Genomic DNA, 22,745 nt, shown 5'->3' with positions numbered 1-22,745 from the left:
CAGTCTCACAGAACAGAAAATTAATTTTCATGTAGCTATTTTCCCCAGCATATGAATTTTGTACATGGCAAGTAATTTAAGTTTTTAATTATTCATGAGCGAGGAGGGGGTGAGGAGAAACATGATAAAGTAAGCTTGCAAAAACCCCAAGGCCAATCTCTGGGCCTGGGTTTGTGCTAAGGCAACAATAGCATTCGCTAATGCCCATATAAATAATATATGTATTAACATACATCTTAGTACAACACCAATTTCTCTCACTCTGACCCGAGACTACCAGGTCACCCTGCAGTACTTTGTCAAAGTCGCCGCACTGGCTACATGTGACATGCTGTGGGAAAACACAGAACATGTCAGCCATATTGAGGTGACCTCCGCCTGCCTCTCGCAGCGGCCACACAGCCCAGGCCTGATAGGAGGTAATTTAACGGTCAGTGTGTGAGTGGGACCAAGCAAAAGTTGCTAATCAGCCAGGTGCTACCTCAGCAAGTCTTCCATTTGCAGGTGCCACTGACTTGTGAACGAGAAAAATGTAACCAGAAAATAGAAAGAGAGCGTTTGACTCACTCTGGCCCCATCCTTCACAGACTCTCGGCAGACCAGCTCGAGAAAAACTGTCTCCTCAGGAAGGGAAAAACCACAACGTGAGCACCTCTGGCAATCAAGCATATTTGCTAAAATGCAGACAAAAATGCTCCCACAGTGCCTCCTTAGAAATTTCACTGGCATACTTCATATAAACTGCAAGACAGGCAAACGTGGGGCACTTGCCTCGAGTCATGGAACTTGATTTAACCCCATTAGGACCAAACCTAAACTTAGCATCTCACACGGCACTCTTGGGCACAGAGGAATCAGCCACCCAAGTCAAGGCGTTTTGGTCATTGATTATTTATCAATGACGTCTTCTGCCCTGAATGTTAAGATTTCATGCAAAATTGGGAGATCATTATAAACAATTGGTCTGTTCCCAGTTGCACAATTAGACTGCACTATCACCGGTTAAGAATGGCAGAAAGAATCTGATCAAATCACCAAACTTACATGGGACAAGGAGAGTCCAATAGTGAGGCAGGGAAAGGAGAGGCCTCTGTGAAACCAAAGAGTGGCAGAGAGAGAATGTGACTCAATTCCTCTGAAAGGAGAGACTGGCTTGGATGACCTGAAGCTGCAGCTGATTTGGGGCCAGCACCAGCCCCACCAAAGGCCCTACCTCCTTGGTAAGGAGGAGACAGGGAGAAGTTCAAAAACAAACATGAAAGGAACTCAAAATTACGTTTAAAAAAAAAAGGAGGAAGAATTTTACCCCAGGGGGTTAGAGGGCAGGGACACTTGGATGGGGGAAGGGGCTGCGTTTGATGAATCTGATGAAATATTAACAAGGACACAAAAGTGGAAGTTTCTATGAACATCGTTTCTTGACAGCTTGTAAAAATGGCCACTCTAACCCAAACCAGAGAGAAATCAGGAAATTGCTTCTCTCCTTAGAGTTAGCCATGCCTCACCCTGGAGGCTGGAGCAAAACTGTGCTTCCAGCGTTTCCATCATAAAACGTGTTTCTCAGTAACCAGTGAAACCTGTAAAAACTCACTTCACCCAGAAATTTGGCACCAGTGCAGCAGTGATAACTATAGGTTTTCTTAAGACTGTTCCAGAACAGGGCTTCAGGATTATATTTCTATTACCATGATGGCTCCAGACTAAGGGGCAACATGATACATCATGTCAAGCACCTAATTATCAGCACCGAAGAACAGCTAGCCAACTTAGGCTGAGTTAAGATTAAAAGGAGGGAGGCATGCTCAATTGTTTCATGTGGTGTATTTGTGAAGGGAGAGTCAATGAGGTTTGCTGAAGTCTTTGTATCTCTGGGTTTAAAAACAAAACAAAACAGGATTAGGAAATTAAATATAGCATTGATACCCCAACAACAAAGGCCTTGCTCAACCGCTGCCAAACCAACCCAGATGATGGTACTGCAACCTGCCCACATGCCAAGAAACATGCCCAGGCCCTCCCAGACTGCTGCAGATACCCATGGCCACATTCTTGGGATGGCCCAACGTTCCTGCCACGGTGATGGGGGCGAAACCACAAGGCTCAGGGAATGCCAGGGAAACTTTCAGCTAATTATTTCTCATTGCTGAGCACATCTGACGCATTCCTTACTTTACTGAGAGAGTTTTGCCATCCTGGTTGATTAGAAAGGGTTGACAAAGCCAAGCACCAAAGAAGAGCTTATCGCCTCAGGACTCTGAGCTTTAAGAAGGCAATTTAGGGAGCTGATCCAAGGAATCAACACTGGCAATCAGGTGGTATTTGAGGCATGTGTGCATGTGTGTGCGTGCGTGTGCATGTGTGTGTGTGCATGCATGTGCGTGTGTGTGTGTGTGTGCGTGCGTGCGTGCATGTGTGTGTATACAAAGGAAGGGAGACAACATGGGGTTCTAGGAAAACCTTAAGCATTCGGAATGGCCCTAACCTCCAAATCAGCCGTGTTCCCCATCCCAGCCCTGCCTTCCCCACCCTACTAAATAGCTAAATAGCTAAATAGCTGGCAGTTGGCGTCTGCATGGCAACAAAGGTGCATTTGGTTTATACCTGTTTGTAGTTTTTCTTCATCTGATATTGAAGGGGGAGGTTTGCTTTATCTTGTTTTGAAAATAATCCTATCAAGAATATAAATGAACTCATTATGCACACCATAAAAAAATATATAGATAGATGTGCTGGCAATTCTGTAACTAAAATGTAAAAAACTTCTTGAAGCCGATGCTGCTGCTGGCATAGCTTAAAGGTCTTTGTTTCTGTAAATTCAATTGAGTGTTTCTATTTCTAAGTCTGGCAAGAGGTTCTAATTATTGTTAGAAGCCTAATTAGCATTTAGTATTACATTACAACAACTGCAGCAAAATTGTACCCATTCTCCAATAAACAGTATTCACAGTATGCAATCAAGCCTCTGTACCGAGCAATGAGAATTAATAGCACCGCATGACAATGGTAAATCCTCCGTCTCCCGCTGTGTGTGTTTAATAATTTTTCACTCCTTCCAGATTGTTCCCATCAAGCACAATTCCCAAGGTCCTAATCAACCACCCTCCCCATCAATACTACACAGAGATCTGAGCACTGAAAATTATCTGCAATTTCAAAAAGTGCTTTGTTGCATTATTAGGCCACTGACCTAAGAGGTAATGGGTAAATAGTTTCTGAAAAATGTCCAAAGCACAACATAAATTAAAGCTTATAGTCTTGCCTGCTGTTCTCACTATAGCTATAACTGCAAACTATTACGGTTTTTACACAATATTCCTAACTATAATTTTACACCATAATATTGGTGCAAAGTGCCAAATGTTCTGCTTTCACGTGCCGTCATTTACTAAACGAGGAGAGTTTGGGAAAGAAGCTGATGTATCCTATCCTTTAGAATTTCTTCTGGCCCTGTCCTCCTCTCACTATCTTACCCTTTTGCCCAGCTGCCATCCCCACCACAAAAAATAAAAAGTTCATAATTAAAGTGTAGGCATCTTACCGTGGAAAGATGTAAAAAAAATTTATAAGTAACAGTGTGTGTCTGACTCTCTGTGTCTCACACACGATCCGTAGATAAAATGAGTTAGGATATGCTGCTTCTGAGGCGACTCGGGTGGACTCGTGAATATCTTGCTGAGAGGGTAGCTGATAGCGGCTTCTGTTGTCTGCTGACTGGTGATGACTATTAACAGTGTCACACAAACCCAAGGCTTGAGTGGGAACAACTCATTTCAACAATCTGAAACATGTACTCTGGGCTGATGAAGAGAAGTTTTGACCATGGAAAACAGAACCCAGAGCCTCAAATCACCACAGAACACAGGAGCAAGGTGCCTCCAGCATGGCTAGGTAGAAGGCAGTGCACAGGACAGCACAGCACTCCCCACTGAGAATATCCCTCAGTACCAATCCAGGAGTTTAGGCTGAATGTGATGTTTTTGTTGCTGATTGTTAGTTAGTTTGTTTTTCATGGGAGCAAAAATAAAAAGAATTTCTGACTCAACTCAACTCAACCTAACCAAGAAAACATGTAAGGTCATTCCCTGAGCAAAGCTAGCTGCAGGATTATGCTGTGGTCTGCCACCCTCTACTTCTCATTTTGCCATTATACATCAACACCCCCCAAAACAAAAGACTTTTATAACATTGGTAGATTAATGCCATCAATTTCTCAGGACTGACTTTCTGAATAATATACCACGTTTTTTCCAAGGTCATTACAATACCCTACTGTACTCCTCAGTCATATAGTCACGTATTAATCCATTCAATAAATGTTTATTGAGTGCCTGCTACTGTTGCAGGTACTTGGGATACACTAGTGAACACGGAGGACAAAGATTACTGCTCTTGTGAGCATATATTTCAGCGTGAGGTAGCCAGACAATCTACAATCATCATCATGAATAAGTAAATTAGAGCGAATGCTAAAAGGGGTAGCGGCAAGGGAAGGAGAAAAAGCAGAGCAGCATGAGAGGATCAGGAGCATCACAGAAGGACAGGCTGCAGTGTTAAATCGAGCAACCAGGGTGGGCCTCTATAAGAATGTGGAATCTGAGCAAATAACTAAAAACAAAAATGCTTGATACATGTCTTAAAACTCTTCAATTTTTTTCTCCCAGTCCTGGCCACTCCCTCCATCCTATTTTCTGATACCACAGCCTGCTGGGCTTGTTAGCATATACTGAGTGGACAGGACTCCCTGCAGGATGGCAGGTGCCACAGAGGGGAATCCAGGTCTGCCCTGTCCTCTGCAACTAGCATTGTGCCTAGCAAAGAGCAGGTACTCAATAAACATTCACAGAGTAAGTGAACACATGCATGAATCCATGGTAACTCATGTATTTATTTTCAAAATCCCAAATAATTCCTTATATATTGATATAATTAAGAGTAACAAATTCTTACAGCTTAAAGGAAATGAAAGGTCTAGTCTAAACAGTAGGGACCGAGACCTAGAGAGGAAGTGATATTTCCAGACTAGAGTCCAATTCTCCTGAATACTCACCCTGTGACTTTTCACTCCTCCTCAGAGGCTAAACATGGCGGGGGATGTCAGGGGTTGACAACTCTGCTTCATTCCTAAATGGTGGCTCCGGTGATTGTTTTCTCTACGCCCATGTGTGATTTCATTCTCTCTCTCAATAACTACTGGATGTTTTCTCTCTTTTGACTCAGCTCTATTATTGTTTAATTTTTTTCTTGCATATCCAAGTTCATATCATCCTGGCAAACCACATATAACACTTGAAGCAAGCAGGAGAGTTAGAAGACCACAGAACACTCCAGCCCTGAGCAGTCAGATGGCAACAGAAGAAAGGGCCTATCCATCTTGGGCTCCTCAACTAACATGCAAATCCAATAACCATCTCCCTTGTGTCTCCCACGCAGTAGAAACAGCTGGGTGAGGCCCAAGCAAAGGTAAGAATCTTGAAGGGAAAGGGCTTGAGAAGCCTCCTTCTCAAAGAAAACTTCTCTATTTCCAAGTAGGCTACTACCGATAAAAGTCCATTTCTTCACCTCCTTTAGGCTTCATGATTCATCCACCACTTTAGAAAGACAAATCTAGTGTTATGCAGATAACTGTCATTATCCCCAACATCTTTATCCCCCAACCCACTCCAACCCTACTTAAAGACACAAGACCTTAAAAGATGTGTCTGTCTCATGAGGGAAAACTGCTTCCCTTCTCTCTGCTAACTCCTGAGGAGAGGGTTCCCTTCCCCTTCCTTTCCCTTCCAGCAATGGCACGGCAAGAAGCAGCAAACTTCAAGGTAAGAAATGAACACATGACCTCTCATTCTGCCTCCATAACAGGCCACATTATCATCTCAATAAAAAGTCCCACTCATTTTTGTTTGCTCTGTGTGGGAAAAAAAAGTCAACCTGTGGCACTCATACAGAAAGGCCAGAGAGTTTGCTCATGAAGTTAGGGCAAGGAGATAAAGGGCATGTTTACAGAAGGAGAACAGTTTACCTTTTGCAGACAGATAAGCATGACAAATATGACAGTGGCAAATATGAACCATACGAACTCCTTCCCTATTCTCACTCAAACCACAGAAAATTACCCAACCTAACTGGCCTTTCTTGGATGGTAAAACACAGGAATCAATTCAGAATAATAGTAATCACAATAATGGGAGCCACCAATGATGCAGAGCTCACCACTGTGCTAAGTGCCTTCTATGCATGTTCTCTTTGATGTTGGAAACTTGGCAGAGGCCTGGGCATGGCTGTCATACTAACACATGGGACACAAGCAGTTCATCATTACATAGCCCACATATTCATTTTCATCCACCCCTGAGACATTCTTACACTGAAATTGGAGACCACTGGATTACTATGAACACTGGTCTAAATCTAAGGTGATCTTTGGGCTTATAATTCAGGAAGTATGGGGCTTGTCCTTAAATTTGGAGCCATGAACCTTTAGCTTCCCAGTGCATTTCTGTATCACCAGCAATATACTCTCAGGCCTGAGCAAGGAGACTGCTTCCCTGGACCCTCCTCAATCTTTTTCAGCTCAGCTTTTTTCAACATGCTCCTCCTCATGGGATAAGAAGTCCTCAGGGCCCAGGAGCATGCCACAGTGTGCCCTCCACCTTCTAAGTTCCACTGTGGGTATCCAGAACTCTATCAAAAGTAAGCCATCCTACAAAAGTCAACCAATATGTGCAATTCTAGTCCAGAGGGATGGCTGTTCGTGGTGAGCTGTGAACAAATAGGCAGTCTGGACATGCAGGCTGTGGTATTTCCCATCCACACACATGTGCAATGAGGATACTCAGCACACAAGAGAGGGCCAGGGCTGCACAGAGAAGGGGGATGGTCAAGAACCCAGGGGAGGCTCTCACCATGCTGCCACATTCCAGCTCCCCAAAGAAGTGGAGAATTCTAAATTGCAATTGACTTCCAATTCATTAACAAAAGTATATCTGTCGTGATAAAAGAACAGAGCATATTTTATTTAGCATTTGTTAGTTTGGTTTATAAATACTTAGACATATGGTATAGGGGCTTCCATTTGTACTCTTGCCCAAGAATCTGCAAATGTTAGAGGAGAGCACGAACCTTGCCCCAGGATTCCTACCCATGGTTTGGTCTTCCGCATCAATTGATGCTTCCTTTCCAAACATAGGCATGCTTCCCTGTAAGCATACCCAGTCGTTAGGTATCCAGATTTACACCAAAGCCACATTTGAGAGTCGGTGCTCCATCTACTAAAGGATTCCATCATTCAGCAAATCCCCCTGATGCATTTGGTTGAACCAACTGATAAAAATTTATTACACACACACAAAAAAACTCACAAATTCATATTTCCATAGGTAACGTAAAAGTGTTAGGGGAAAAAACTTAAATAATATTCCCTCTACTATTATTTCATTTAACAAATACTTAGTCACTATAAAAAGAAGGTAGAAAATGCAGATAATCCAAAGGAATAATACAAAAATCATCTTCTATAGCACTTGGCAAAATGATCCCTGTTAGAATTTAATGCATATACTTCGGATTTTTTCAATGTCATTATGAAAATATAAAGACAAAGCTATAGGTAGTTGATTTTATAAGAATCCTGTTACATTATGACTACAAACAATTATTCAGGGCCACCCATGTGCCAGGCCCTGGGAAGTCCAAAATTAGCCAGACATCATTTCTATCGTATCAGAGTTTGTGCTAGAGTTGAAGAAACCAACGTGTCAATCAGCAATTACTTTGCAGTATGAAACATGCTTTACCAGAAATCTACAGAAAGGACTATAGAGGACTTAATGGTGAGTCCAGAGATGGGAATGACTTCTTCTTCCTGGGGCATGACTTCAAGGTTTTGCCAACACTAAAATTTCAAACTCTGGGCTCCCTAATCTCATTCAACAAACATTTATTGAACATTTACTGTGGGCCAGGCACTATCTTAAGCACTGGGCATATAGTGATGAGAAAGACAACGTTCTACTTCATGGAGCTTAAACAGACAAACACATTTACAGATAAATAGTTAAAACAGTGTCATACCTTTCCCTTGGCATAATGATACACAGAAAGTGCTAAAAAACAGAGATGGGTGTTGAAGTAATAAAGGAACCAAAGGTGCATGATGACTTCACCTCTTTGCATTTCCATTTCAAAGGCAGGTGTTGTCCTTGAAGTTACCATATCAGAAAGTTGTGAAGTTTCAAAACACAACCTGGTATGTCTGCTCTGTTTCACTTAAAAAATATGAATCCAATAGGCTTAATCCAAAATCTCTAGCTCTGAATTGGGTTACCATGTGTTGCATTTGATTTGTATTTCCATCAGTATCAACCCAAGCATCCTCATACAGACACCAGCAATGTACATGATTTATAGCAAGTCAGTCAAGGTAAAGCCTATAGCTTCCCTTCACATTTTGACGTTATCAGATTACTTCAGAAGCTGGCAGCAGCTACCATAAGTAACAAGCTGTCAGTGTAAATAAATCACTCTCTCAAAAATAACTGCTAAAAAGTATAGATTAGTATGAGCAAAGGTGGGCTTAGCCTTAAAAAATGCCCCTTCTCAAGTTTCCTATATATTTAATTTTATATAGAAAAAAGAAAATAATTAATTTTCTTTCTTCAAAAAAAAGAAGGTTCAAGGCTTAAGATCCATATAAAAAACTCAAGGTGCCAAAGGAAAGTTTGTGGCTCTTGTGCATAATTCATCAGACAATCAATTTGCAATCACCTGAAAAAGCCCAGGGTGTGGGGAACAACCAGCAGGTTCTATGAAGAGCAACCCAGGCCAGGCCAGCTTAATTTCCTTCAATGATGGAGTGACAGGAAGTAGGATGAGAGACAGGAAGTGGGATGAGAGAAAAGCAATAGATGCAATCCATCCAGACTGCAGCAGTCCTGTTTGTCTGGTCTCATATGACGCGCTCATCAGTAAGCTGGGAAATCTGACCTTAAAAGTCCTCAGAGTGCTAGAGCACCCTGCCCAGAATAGGATCTCCAGTGTCTGTGCACCATCGGGGGTCGGGAGGGACAGATCAGTCACCATACTGAAGAGGTGAATGGTGGGGTCGTGGCCATTGTGCATCTGTTGATCTGTGTTGAGATATATTTGAGATCTACGTGAACAAGAAAAAGTCAGTGCTCTATAGAGCAACTTGAGTCCATATCATACCACCCAAAAAGAAAAAGAAACATGTCACTAAATTCGGACATCAACAAGAATGGTCACAGTGCTTTCAGGCAGAATACGAAAGGGAATTTTTAGTGGTGTGTTATAAAAGAATGGCACTAGGAAACATTAAACTCAGCCAGAGGCCAGGTGTGGTGGTTCACACCTGTAATACCAACACTTTGGTATTACACTTGCTCAGAGGCTGAGCAAGGCGGGGAGGTGGGGGTTGGGGATCCCTTGAGCCCAGGAGTTCACATGGAGAGACTCCTTCTCTACAAATAAAAATTTAAAAAAAATAGCCTTGGTGGTGTGGACATGTAGTCCCAGCTACTTGGGAGGCTGAGGTGAGAGGATTGCTTTAGCAAAGGAGTTCCAGGCTGTAGTGAGCTATGATCGTGCTACTGCACTCCAGCCTTGAGTGACTAAGTGAGACTCTGTCTCTTTAAACAACAATAACAACAAAAACAACAACAAAACCCAGCCAGATGCACAAGATGTCAGAATCATCCTATCACTGTTTGGTGTGGGTCAACATATAGTGTCCTGTCCTTGTTCAATCATGATTTGAAGTTACTACCACACAGATACATAAACTCCCTCACCTTAGTATTTTCATGACCCCATTTCTTTGCCTGCCCTTCCCACACTTTCATACCCTTTCATACACACACCCTTCCCACACCAAGAAACTAAACTCTCTTGGTTTCAGCAGTCACATTTGAATTATTGAGGGTGATTGAGTAATTCTAGAATCTACTAGCTTAAAGAGTTCCCATCTCAGGATGCCCCCTGCTAGGTCTAGATAAAATGGCCAAATATGCTCACGTTGTCCAAAAGAAAGATCAGGAACTCCTGAGAGGACGATGAAGGATGAAGCTGGCGATCCAGTGAGAAATCTGTCTTCTTTGGGGACTAGGCCCTACTGTGCCAATGCACCAGCAAATGAACCTTCCTTCAGATTTCAGTGGACACATAGAACTCCCTGGCTTTCCCTAGTTAACTAATAAAATGTAAACACCTTCACTCATTCATTAGCTAATTCAGTCAAGATTCTGCTATTTATATGCCCGAGTACCTGCTAACTGTCCTCCCTTCACAGCAGCTTTCTATCTGGTAAGGGAGACGACTGCATGAGTTGTTATAAAATATAACCAGTCCTGCGATGTGGCAAAAGAGAGGGCTGGGGGAGTGAGACTTAATGGGGAAATCAGGAAAGCCTTCCCAGAGAAGGCAGCCTTTTAGCTTGGACCTGAAGGTGATGAGCAGGAGGCTAATAGAGAGAGTGATATGTGCAGAGGCACAGAGGAGAGAAGGTGGGCAGGACTGAGACACGATGAGAGGGGCTCAGCATGGCTACTGTGCCACGGGCAGGGGGAGACCACCACTCTTGCCTCACACACACACAGACCAACTTATCCATCTACCCAAAAGTATACACTCAACCCCCATTAGCCACCATCCCATTAAGTCCCTTTCTCCACACAAGCTTCAAGCCTCCCAGCCCTAGAAGCACAGCACATCCACCTGCATATTAGAACACCTGAAACTCACCCTTTTCTAAGGCTCAGATCGAGTTCATGGTTCCCATCACATTGCCTCCTCCCCAGTGCTCCGTCTCTTCTGAACTAACCTAGTACCTGCATCCTGATCCACACAGTAATTCAGCCTTCTTCATTTATGAATTTCCACCATTCATTCAAGTTTCAGATGTGTCTTTTCTGCCCTTCTTGAGGATGTGGACCACGTTTTCCAGTGTCTACCACCTCTGTATATGCACCTTTCATACACACACACACACACACACACACACACACACACACACACACACAGAGCCACGTATCAAGCACAGAACTAAGCACATGATAAATGTTCAAGGGCAACATCATTTTTTAATGACAGCCCATTTCGTAAGGTTTTATGTACAATCCCTATCATTTTTCAATATAATGCACTCATCACTGTTGGTCTGGGTTATTGTTATTTGGGGATCACTTTTCTACTGTAGCTAGAGATGCTGTGTGTTTAGGAGGAAGATTATGCAGTTTAGTGTCATGGAAAAAAGCACAGGCTTTGCAGTCAAACCAACATTTCTATACCCATTTCACTGATGGCTGGCTGTGTGTCTTCTGGCAAAGTTGGGAACCTCTCTAAACCTCAGTTTCCTCATCTGTGAAATTGGGATCATAATATCCCCCAGAGGGTTGTTATGAAAACTAAATGAAATAATGAATAATTCAGTGTCTGGCTAAACGTAGCCACTCAAAAAAATATGTTCTCTTTCCCTTTTTCCCTTTATTAAGGGGAAAAAAATCAAAGATGGCCTGAATGCAAATTTGAGTCAGATGATTCCCCAAAATTGGGTAACTTCAGGAAACAAAGCCATCTAATGAAGCAAACTAAAAGGTAAGCCACAGCTTCTTACAGATATTAGCATTTTTAGTGAAGACAAGTATACAACAATAAAATTAAATTAGAAAAGCTTCAAATCATCACTAGAAATGTCCTTTCTCAGCTGCACAAAATATAAATAGAAAAGGAATTAACTGAGGGAAACAGAAATACCCACAGATTATCATCTTCTTTGTTATGTAAAATAACTTGCTAAAATCATATCTGAAGATATTTTTTGCATTGTCACGTTAAAGAACATGGTTACTGGTTAAAATAAGCATCTGTAAAATATACACAGTGTAGGTATATAATACACATTTTAAAAGAGAAAATAAAAGCAAGCGATAAGCATATGCATATCTTACTGCAAATAAAGCCTGTGACCTTTCCAAATGAAGACAAGAATATCAGTCTTGTGAATTTCTAATATGATGCCCTAACACTCATATTCCATGCAATAGATATTTTGTTTCTAACTTAAAGGCTGTTGAGGCAGCCCTCTTCACATTCCCTATTTGTCTTCCCTGGTCAGCTGAGCTCAGCTACCCAAACACACATACACACGCTCAGAGGACAGATTTGTCATGCTGACCTTTCATATCTCCTACGCTTTTTAACTGATCGAGATTCCATCCCACAGAAACATGCACACAGCATCACCGCAGAGAAGAAAAATCAGGTGAAGGATGGCAAAGATAAATACCAGAGAAGCAAGCTAGAACCCGAACGCCAGGGACATTGCTCACAAAATTATTCAAGGGAGGAAAGCCAGCTAAAGCTAGCGAAACAGGCCACACACAATGCAAAATTAACCAGTGACCTTTACTGGGAACGTCAAAGGTGAAAGCAATTTGTAAGGTAGTACTTAATAGGCACCATGTGCTGGCCTCTATGTGGACTAGAACCTTGCATAATCAGACACTGAGAAAAACAGCAGAAGGAAAATCTCCTCCACATCTGAAAGTAACTCAAGCTCTAAAGGAAGAATGATCATGAGTGTATCATTGTACCCATAACTGGCTCTCCAACTTGTTGGATGTGGGCAGGGACTGAGGATGTCTCAAAAATCCTAGAACACAGCAAGTAGTAGACTTCCTAGCCATGGCCGGCTTATCTCATTAGGCTATGAGGGCTTGCATTCTGTGAAACCGCACAGTCCTCCAAAGGAAGGCTAAGTAGGCATATTGGTCATATTTCAAACACTCCAGAAACCTCTGTATCATGAGTTTTACCACTGTATTTTTCCTCTACATGAGATGAGTGCTTCCCTCCCAGTAGGGGCCATGGCCATGAGAAATGAGTGTTTTTCCCTTTTGCCAGTAAGAAATCGTAAGACCTGGTGTAAAAACCACTCAGGCATAACAAGTTATAGCCCAGCAGGCACACTGATTAGCTAGGTTCTATAACCATAAAGTCAACAATAATCTACCTGCATGCCCTTTCTGCAGGTGGCTCACCTATGGATGCTAAGTAAGTCAGCAACAGTTCAGCCAAAATTACATGGGAGAGCATTATGTGTAAACATGAACACTCTAGCTTGTCCTTAACTATACCACTGGGACACCAGACCTGCAAAACAATCTATTACCCCCACTCACCACCAACCCCAACTGCAACTTTCGTTCTTCTCCTTATGAATTTTCCCCCACTGTAATGGCATTCCATGCTTAATGTGTCTCCCCAGTTAACAGGGCCCTTCCTGCTTTCATCCATGCCTTCCACATACAGGGCATCTTTTATACCAGGGAAGAGGTGATTAACTCCCCTCTGAAGCATGTAAACTTTAGGTACATTTTTCCAGTAGTGTTGACTGATTGCACTAAACTACTTACACTCTCTTCACGGTCCCCTTGGAGATAAGAGCCACACATTTGGAAATCCCACTCCCTAGGGGATAGGGCACCTGGTCATAGGGCAGGAGATGCATACACACACATTCTTTTTCAACTTATGACCACTGATCCAACATCTCTACTCTAGGGTTCTAGAAATGTCTCCTAAGTTTTGCTGAAATAAAAAGGCTTGAATAATAAGGCAAAAGCCCTCCCACCCAGTCAAACAGGCAAGGTAGATACAGTCCTTGGAAATGATTATTAAGATTAATGTTTTACTTTTTCTTATGGCTTGAATTTAGACTAAGTTACACAGGAACAGCCAAAACAATATTGCATCTCAGATTCTAATAGGGAGGGCTGAATCCAAATCTATCCTTAAGAAAAGCCATTACCTCCCCTGAAAGCAGCAGGTGTGAGACCTAATGGCCTGTCATAATGAAGGGTCAGTCTCTGACATTGGGACTCAACTCATCGTGTGACACAGAGTGATTTACACAACGCTACTCAAAAACGATGTAGGAAGTTTGACGATTCATAAAATCATAAATTATAAATCAATTACCAGAAACAGATTGATTCATCTCCAGGCCCATTTGCTCCCAAGGTATGAGACCTTTTAAAGGACCCTTTGACTAGAGGAGACAAAGAAGAGCGGGGCTCGGCCCCTCAGGCCACTTCTGCTGTCCCAGCCTCTCTGAGCAAACTTATTACCCTGTAAACTCCATTTTGATCCAGTAGTGGCTACTGCAGAAAATAACCGGTGGATTACAGGAATAATTTTGTTTTGAAAGAACAACAATAAAAGTGGCACTGGCCTTTGGGAAAAAAGGGGATTGGATTCTCCAGTTCCCAAAAATCTGGGTGAAAATATAAAAATTCTATAAATATTTAGGACATTTAGCCATACAGCTTTGCATTTCCTCACAAGCAGAAATACCTGTACAGATAACCAACATTTTCACAATTCATCTGATATGGTTTATGAATAACGATTTTCCAAAACAATCATCAAATACATTGTGTCCCTAAATTTCCACAGCACAGGAGTAGCTTTTTCATTCTTTAGAGAAAAATCAAGGTGCATATTCGATATTTGAGATGATAACAGTAAAATAATTCATTTTGGCATAGCCCTGGATTTGGTTCTGGAGACAGGCATCTAGAGACAGGTGCAACCAAGCAACACAGGGCTGAGAATCACACTTGTCCATCTTGTGGGTCCACTCCTAAAACCAGCAATACAAAACAGCCGACACTCTCCTATGCTGGAACTTCTCCAATATAATTGTTTTTACAGTGGCTAGAAGAATATGAAGAACCCTTTAGCTTAACCCACTCGCTGAGATTCTTAGATGAGCGTATTACAATTTTCCATTTAGAGATGGGGCAACTGAAGTCCAAAGTGAGGAAGAACAGAAAAGCCGGCAAGACAAAGGTGTGGGGGCCTCTGAATCCTGCGCTTTCTCCCCTGCACCACGCCATTGCTTAAGTCAAAGAAAATATCAATATTTCTTAGGCTACATAGCTTAAGAGAGAAATGTCTCTTCCCATACCTCAGATAAATTTTGAAACTAAGAGAGTAAATGGCAATGCAAATACTACTATTAGATATTTATTATGTTGTAAAGCTTGAAAACAGTCAGGAAAATGGAAAAGTTACTTTTTTCTCTATACAAATTTGTTAATGGGTGGCATAATGGGGAGCCCTGTTTTGCTGGCACTCTGTGAAACGTCTACAAATTGCCTCTGCAGAGCATTATAGGTTGTCAGACTAATGTAGTTGAAGATAATTTGGCCTTTCAGTGAATTGAACCTCACAGCACGATTATACTCCACAACCAAGTAGAGTGTCACAATTATTCTTTCATGCTGAATTACCATATAATGTCATGAGTCTACCTGTCATAAGTCCTGTACCCTAGTCTGAATTTTTCTTCCCTAAATCTATGGTTCATGGCAAAAAAAATAATAATTTTTTGCATCTAATGGAAATCTGATTGTTTTTATCAACAATAAATTTCATAGCAAATCAAAGGATATGCTTGGACAAACAATCCGATACTCAAGGTTAAAAAACATACAAATAATAAATTGCTGGTGTGTCATGTTCAATTTTTACTACGGCATTACACTGCAATAACCATAACAGGATCTAAATTGTTGTCAGAACATTAAACAAACCCCCATACTTCACAAAGGCATCCTGTCTGAGTAATTCACACAACGGAAACAACTATCAAATTTTCCACTGTCCCACCGCTACACCATACATCAGTGCAATTTTATGTATTTGGACAATTCGTTGAATAAATTACTTCCATCCTGCCTGCTCTTGCCACTTCTGTTAAGAGTCATATCAGTTTTAATTGTCTTTCTGTCTATATGGAGCCACTGTCTTTCCGGCCTTTTCCTGTTCTATTTCCTGAGCCCCAAAATAAACTATGAACACCCATTGGAGCTGGGCACTGGGGACACACAACTGCAAGACAGTGGTGTCCTGTCAGAGGCCAAGAGCCCCCTCCTTCTCCTGCTGCATGACAGTTGCTGAATAGTGTTTGGGACTGTGACAATACATAATGTTTGTGTGGGATCACGATGTCTTTCAACGTCATAGTGATCTAAAAGCTAACGGTATCAAAGACCCCACATTCTGCTCTGTTACCATGCAGTTGTCTACTTTCTTGGTTCATCACAACATTCAGCCTGCCATGGAAAATGGGCTCAGCCTGGGTTAAATGTCCCCAGTTCCATTCATGGTGGGATTCCAGCTCACCAGCCAGTTCATGGCAGGCTCCTCAGGCTGTTTCCCTTGGACAGGCTGCTCCCAAGCAAATGGCAAGCTCACACTTCCAGGCTGAAGATCTAACCTTCATTAATGCCCAGGGGCACATGCCAAAGGTACAGTTGTAGAACAAGTAACACCATAATGGGCACAAATAAGCTTTGTCTATACAAAGTAGAGTTAATGACTTCCCATCGTGTTTCTCAACACCTTCAATAGAAGACTAAATTGACACTGACCAAAGGGAATCAGATCAATTGGATGCAACTCTGTTTCCTAAATGAGTTCCTCTTGGGTTGCCTATAGTTCAGCACAGGTATTTATATGACCAAAGTTGACCTCCCAGGCTATATAAGTTAATGAAAAGAAATATGAGTAGAAACTCCTAGGCAACTCAAACCAACTTGGCTCCTGTTTTAAAGTGATTTCATCACCTATGTCACCACAGCCAAATAATTAATCACACACTGACATCTCATCATACTGCCTATCCAAAGCCTGCTGCTGCCAAAGAAACCATTTTATGCTGAGCTACTTTTGCTGTTTCCAACAGAAAACTCCCTCATTTAACTGACCCCAAAACAGATCCGCCATATACTAAACATCGCCCTACCATACAGAGTCAGATTTGTGGCTCCAGTTGGCCAGTTTTTGCTTCTCAGGGTAACACAACAGAAGGAAACCCCATTCACGGAGGTTAGCCCTGGACTTGGTGCCCCCATGTTAACCTGGTAGACTTGCTGGGGAGTAGAAAGTAACTCTTCATTTATAAGCCCAAAAGCAATAATAAACATAGAACTATGATTTACTCTGAATCTTTCTATTATTAAAACACTTTGTCTTATAGTTTTATTGATTTACAATCTGTCCTACTTACTTTTTTAGCATCTGAAAACAATCAAGGTACAAAGCTGCAAAATGTTTGGACATTAATTGTTAGGAGACAGAATTTTATTCCAAGTGAGGGGTTTGAGGCCTCAACAGCAATGCATTCTGGTACCAGAATGATTTATGGTCTTGTAGCAATAACGATGCACCAGGGCCATTAACATATTGGCAGGCCCTAGGATGGATTAGTGGCATTGATTATTTCATGGGCCACTGATACCCATTTGTTACGAGGAGTTCAAAGATGGCCTCTCCCCGACTAAAATCTTTTTATGAGCAGACAGCATTTTAAGTATTAGGAACCTGGGATTTGGGCCATTTTTTATAATCTTGCCGTCACCTCACCTTAGTAGGCAACCCCAAAAAAAAGTGTCAAAAAATTAAAGTTCATTCTTCACCACCAGCCTTAATTCCTCAACTCGTCATAACCACGTCTTCTTTAAAAATTAATGATTGCCAGCATTTAGCCACTGGTTGTTGCTACGAAGATCTATGCAAAAAGCAAGGATCCCTATAGAGTGTGTGATATATGGAATACTCTTTATTACTACAATAAAACTTACTGACATTTCAATACTTCTGCAAATAGCATTATAGTATCAATCTTCTGAATTAGGTTGAAAATTAAGTTGTAAATTAAAAGAAAGTGTACTTTGGAATACAACATGATATGTCACCTAGAAAAGGACCTTTGTGCATAATGGAATGGAGCTGGGGAACACAGAGATGAGCCCAGCACCTCGGCAGGGCTGCTTGCATTCTAAAGATCCAGGTTCCAGAATTCACCCAGAATCCCTAATAATCCATCACCAGAGACTCTATTTTTCCATTGTAAAAGTCAAGGGACTTGACCACAGCTGTTTTTGAATAATGTATTATGAAACCCCAAATCTTAATATACTTTTCTCCTTTGCCACATTCTTATTGTAAATCTTAAGTTGGGCACCTTTGGAATAATAATTGCCTTATAAACTACACAGAAATTACACATACATTATGCTTATAATGTACGTATACATATATAAAAACTAAATCCTTCTCTGTGTCATCACATACAGAATTCCTCTCCATCCCCACACAGACCCCACTCCCCAACACCTACCCGGTCTTCAAAGATGCTCAGAGCAGAAAGCTAAGCAGGGCACTAGATGACAATTCCCAGAGCTTGGATGGCTTTGAAACTGTTTGGTCCAAAGGCTAATGTCACATACTGTAAATTACAAACAGTCTCAGATTGGAGCCAGAACAAAATGGTTATGCAAAAGACCACTGGCTTTCAAATATGTATTTGTTGAAAAGTCAAATGTCTTAAATCATTTCCACCTATCTTCCACGGCATTCTGTGTACCCACAAGATGGCACGGCATAGTTAAAACAGAGTCATTCTGATGATTTGAAATACCCTGATGAAACCCAAACTAACCCCTACCCAGGAATGACTTCCCATCATGGGTTCTCATGCTTGCTTCCCAATTTCTTTAGTTTAGCCGAGAAGCCGTCTTGGGTAGGAATCTGTTTCTCTATACTCCACCACTCCCCCAACTTCCTGCATTGTCAGAGGTCTACACACACTGGACCAAGGAGAATAAAGAGATTTCATCTTGAGAGCCAACTCTAGTCACCCAGTAGATGCGAGCTGTGATTAAAAGGATTCTGAGACAGAGTTCTGAATCCACAGCAAAAGATGCTATATTTAATCACCGACTGGGCTCAAAGCAAAGGAGTGGAAGAGTGGTCTAAGTGCTGATGTTCACAACTCTGAATTCAGAAGTCGACACAATTTCACTGACTAACCTGAAGACTACTCTGTTAAGCTCGCTAAAAAGTAAACTTCGAAGGCATTTCCACTCACAGAATGGGCACAGGAAAACAAAGCTGCTTCTCCAAGAAAGATGTAGCACAGACTATGCATGAAATAATTTTAGAACTGGAGAGAATCATGAGATGACCTAATGCAAGCCTTTTATTTCATAGATGGAAGAATCACGATATGTTGTTAAGTGACTCACATAAGATTATGCAATTAGTGATGGAGAAATGAAATCCTCAGTCTCCTGCCCGTGTGTTCTCTCCGTAATGCCACGATGCCTCCTTTTCACCCCATCTTATTTGCTGCTTATTTTCCCTTCCTTCCCATGTATATAATTTTCTTATTTTACTAAGATTTGATGTGCCGTCTCAGGATTCTCAAATTTTGGATTATGTAAGACATAGACTCAATAATCTATATTACTGCAAATTTAGGAAAACAATCTTAGAGTATGATGTATGGTAATTCAGGGTTAAGTAGAAAACAACACAAGAAGTTTGCCGTTTCTCTTGTTAAATTTTGGGTTTTATTTTAAATAGAGAAGAAAGATATTGTAAATGTGTACTTTAGGTACACAGAGGCACTTTGGCTTCAATCTCTGAATTATGAGGGCTCCACGTGAACCATCCAACATTAAAACATCCAGGGAACATCCCCTGCAAAACTCTTAGATTATCTCCTACCATATCCAGCTTATAAAGTAATTGGGAAAGTAGGCCTTCCATTTCTTGTGGAAATTAAAGTTCTTAAAGACTCTTTACTGCTCTCTGTAATAGAACCGACAAGCTGTCCCCTCAGACTGGGTAGGCCATGGCCATCCCACGGCAACAGGAGGCGGAACACTTCATTACCTCAGCCCACAATCCCACAATGCTGTGCAAACCCTACCTTCTCCCTCAACATCCAGAAACAGGTTTTCAGAAAGATTCTGCTTCTTGGCCCCCAGGGAGAATAACACATGACCAACTCTAGGGAAAATAACCTCTTTCCTGTTCAAAAGTTAAAAATTAAATCCACCCTGGAGAAATACTCTACGACTAAGAAACAATTCTGGGACACCACTACAGAATGTAACAAGTGAAAGAAGTTCTCTGCAGGTCTAACTTAATTTAAACATGGTAAATTGTGAAACTTCTTTTTATTCACATCATGGTTAAGATGGAGAACAGCTGGTTACCTTGTCACACAAAACCACTCCTGGTACACCTGAGGAATATCCTTCAAGCTTCTCTTCTTTAGGCAAATAATGCCAACCCCAAAAAGCTCTTCAGATACATCATCTCACCAATCATTGTTACTGCTATGGTTCCTCTGGACTTCTGCCAAATCTGCATCCTTCTTAAACTCAGTAGTACATATGGCATGACAGGGCTGGGTGTTAATTGAAGAACAGCTTAACTGTTTGGACATGTTATGCATCTATTACACAATTGTCAATCTTGCAATGTTTGCTGTAGGACTATATCTTTGGGGAAATTAATGCCAAATGAAAATTTACCCTAATCTGTTTTTCTTTTTAACTCTCTTAGGGATCTTTCTGATGATTTGTTAATCTGCTTCACTTTATTCTACAAGCTCAAGTCATATAACCGAAATTAACAACTAAGACCCAGGATAGGAGTAAATGGTTATTGACTGAGATATTTGTCCTCTTTTAGATATTTATCCTTTGTATCTACAACAACCACTCATTAACATGACGGTTAATATGACTATAGTAACCAAGAACACACAAACATGGAAGTGATATTCAACAACTCATTATTCTTATGTATTCAAATTCCACTTTTAATTTTTTATACCTTTACTAAATACCTACTCTGTTTTTACAGTAAAACCTTATTAAATCACCTAACACATTTGGAAGTTTTGAAAAGGCTGAAGTTGAATTCTGTCTGATTTCTGATGGAAAACCTAACCAGGCTCATGACAAGTGTTTCATAAATTACATGTTGACTAAATAAACAAATAATGGTGCATTATGAAATCCTTCTCAATTCTTCACTCTCCTGCTCCTAGGCCCTCTGCCTTGTGAGTTTGTACTTCCTACCACCAGAGTATCTATCCCTAACCCACTGATGATGATCTTGGCCACAAGACTTCATTCGGTCCTGGAATGTAGACTGAAATGACAATGGGCTGGCTGAGTCTAGGCCTTCCTTGAGGCCTCACATATTTCCTCTGCCCTCTCCAAGTCTCTGACCTGAACTGAGAACAACTTGCCTGGAAAGCCCATTGGTTCCAGACAAAATAGAAACACCCAGAAGAGAACAGCTCAACCAACCCACAGACCTGCAGGATGAAGCAGAGTCTCCACGGCCAATCCACAAACTGTGAGCATGATAATAATTGCTGATCGAGTGCCACTAGGTGTTGGGGCATTTTGTCAAGCAGCATCATTGTGGCAACAATTGATAGATAGTAAATGGTGCAAATAAGATTGAAGGGTCATGTCTGAGCACCTTCAGAAAAATCAGTATCCATTTATACAGGAAAAAATGAAAAGCAGATTACAAAGCACTCTTATAAACTCACTTAATTCATCCACTAGGAAGCTTTCCTTCCTCACTAGCTGGGGACTACATTTTGAGGCAATAAAACACTTTAAAAATCTAAAAATAATCATAATTAATGTTATGTCCAATAAGTAGGGCAAATGTTGGTGCGATATGGCTGAACTAATGAACTACTCGGTGGTCAGAAAATACATGCTACAGACTATATAATGAACAAAGAATATTTCCATCATTCCCATCAGAGGACTTGTTAGCAGGGGCCCAATTTCCATGAACACTCTACCCTCTGCTGGTTCTGAAGATGAACACATGTGCTCTGTTTTAAAGGGGAGGAAGGCAGCAACTGCAGCTTGTGCAGGGACATTAATGAGGTAGCTGAAGTCATCTGGTGAGGTTAACCACATGGAGCATCTACAGCCACTCATCACCCTCCTTGCCTCCTGGCCCACAGATGTCACACCAAGAGGACATCGAAGGACAGCATCCCCAGAAGAGACAAGCTGCAGCAGGAAATTCTCCTCCCAAAGCTCCTCGCTGTGCCACCAAGGTGGCCTCTGCAGCGTGGCAATAAGGGCCGTGCCATTAAAGGCAAGCTTCCGTTTTATGTGCTCAAGCCTTCTGTTGCAGGATCCCACGATTCCCCAGGAAGCCTGATTTACCATCCCATCGCCCTGTTTTTATAGGGCTTGACTCTGCAAATGGAGCTGATGGAGACCTCAACCATGAGTCACTGAGTCCTCAGGTATGACTGCAGATTTACAATGCCTGCTGAAGTCATTCTGTCACACTCACATCTTCTCAACGTGCCCCTGGGGGGGACTCCCCAAGGCTTCAGCTGAGCTCCACTAGCCCTCTTCCAACCCCCTGCCCCAAAATATTTTCCTCCTCTGAGCCTAATTTCCCTTAGCCCAGACCTCACAATCCAGGAAGCCCTGTAAGGATCTGAGGGCTACTGGTGCAGACATGGCAGTCACATGCAGGAAAGCTCATTTGAGGGGTGGCTGGTGAGATATTATGGGGAGAGAGAAAGGGGATGGGAAAAGAGAGAAAAGAAAAAGTGACTCTGAGTCATGTTGGTGAGATTTTTCACAGCTAATCACACACAAGACTGATTCACTGCTCACTTTGCTGTGCTCCCTCATTTTTCATATCATACTTTTCGCTGCCCCATCAGCCTGTTCCACCAAGGTCAAATGAAGGGAATGATAGCTTGCACACCACACTGAGATTTATTATAAACGGAGTCACTCACCTTTTATGTGGAGTAAATGGGCTCCTGAAATTACCATTTATGAAGATGGACCTGAGCAAAAGAGACACAT

General features: G+C 41.7%; 1 protein-coding gene and 1 long non-coding RNA gene across 3 annotated transcripts in view, besides 1 other annotated feature; both read right to left on the bottom strand.

Moving 5' to 3' along the window:
* Window positions 1-22,745, bottom strand: part of LRMDA (leucine rich melanocyte differentiation associated) — a 1,128,545-nt gene that overhangs the window by 820,712 nt on the left and 285,088 nt on the right. The window lies entirely within an intron of this gene.
* LOC105378367 (uncharacterized) overlaps window positions 1-22,745 on the bottom strand; it is a 31,394-nt gene that overhangs the window by 4,392 nt on the left and 4,257 nt on the right. The window lies entirely within an intron of this gene.
* Window positions 10,995-11,139: a silencer, noted in NCBI's record as "fragment chr10:77488076-77488220 (GRCh37/hg19 assembly coordinates)". NCBI's record gives its function as "represses an EF-1alpha promoter that drives an FKBP-Casp9 reporter gene in an ReSE screen in HepG2 liver carcinoma cells {active_cell/tissue: HepG2}" and the evidence as "EXISTENCE:reporter gene assay evidence [ECO:0000049][PMID:32094911]".

The sequence above is a fragment of the Homo sapiens genome, chromosome 10 (genome assembly GCF_000001405.40).
Source record: "Homo sapiens chromosome 10, GRCh38.p14 Primary Assembly".
NCBI lineage: Eukaryota > Metazoa > Chordata > Mammalia > Primates > Hominidae > Homo > Homo sapiens.
The sequence above is the reverse complement of the archived record's forward strand: the minus strand, read 5'-3'. Positions and strand labels throughout refer to the sequence as shown.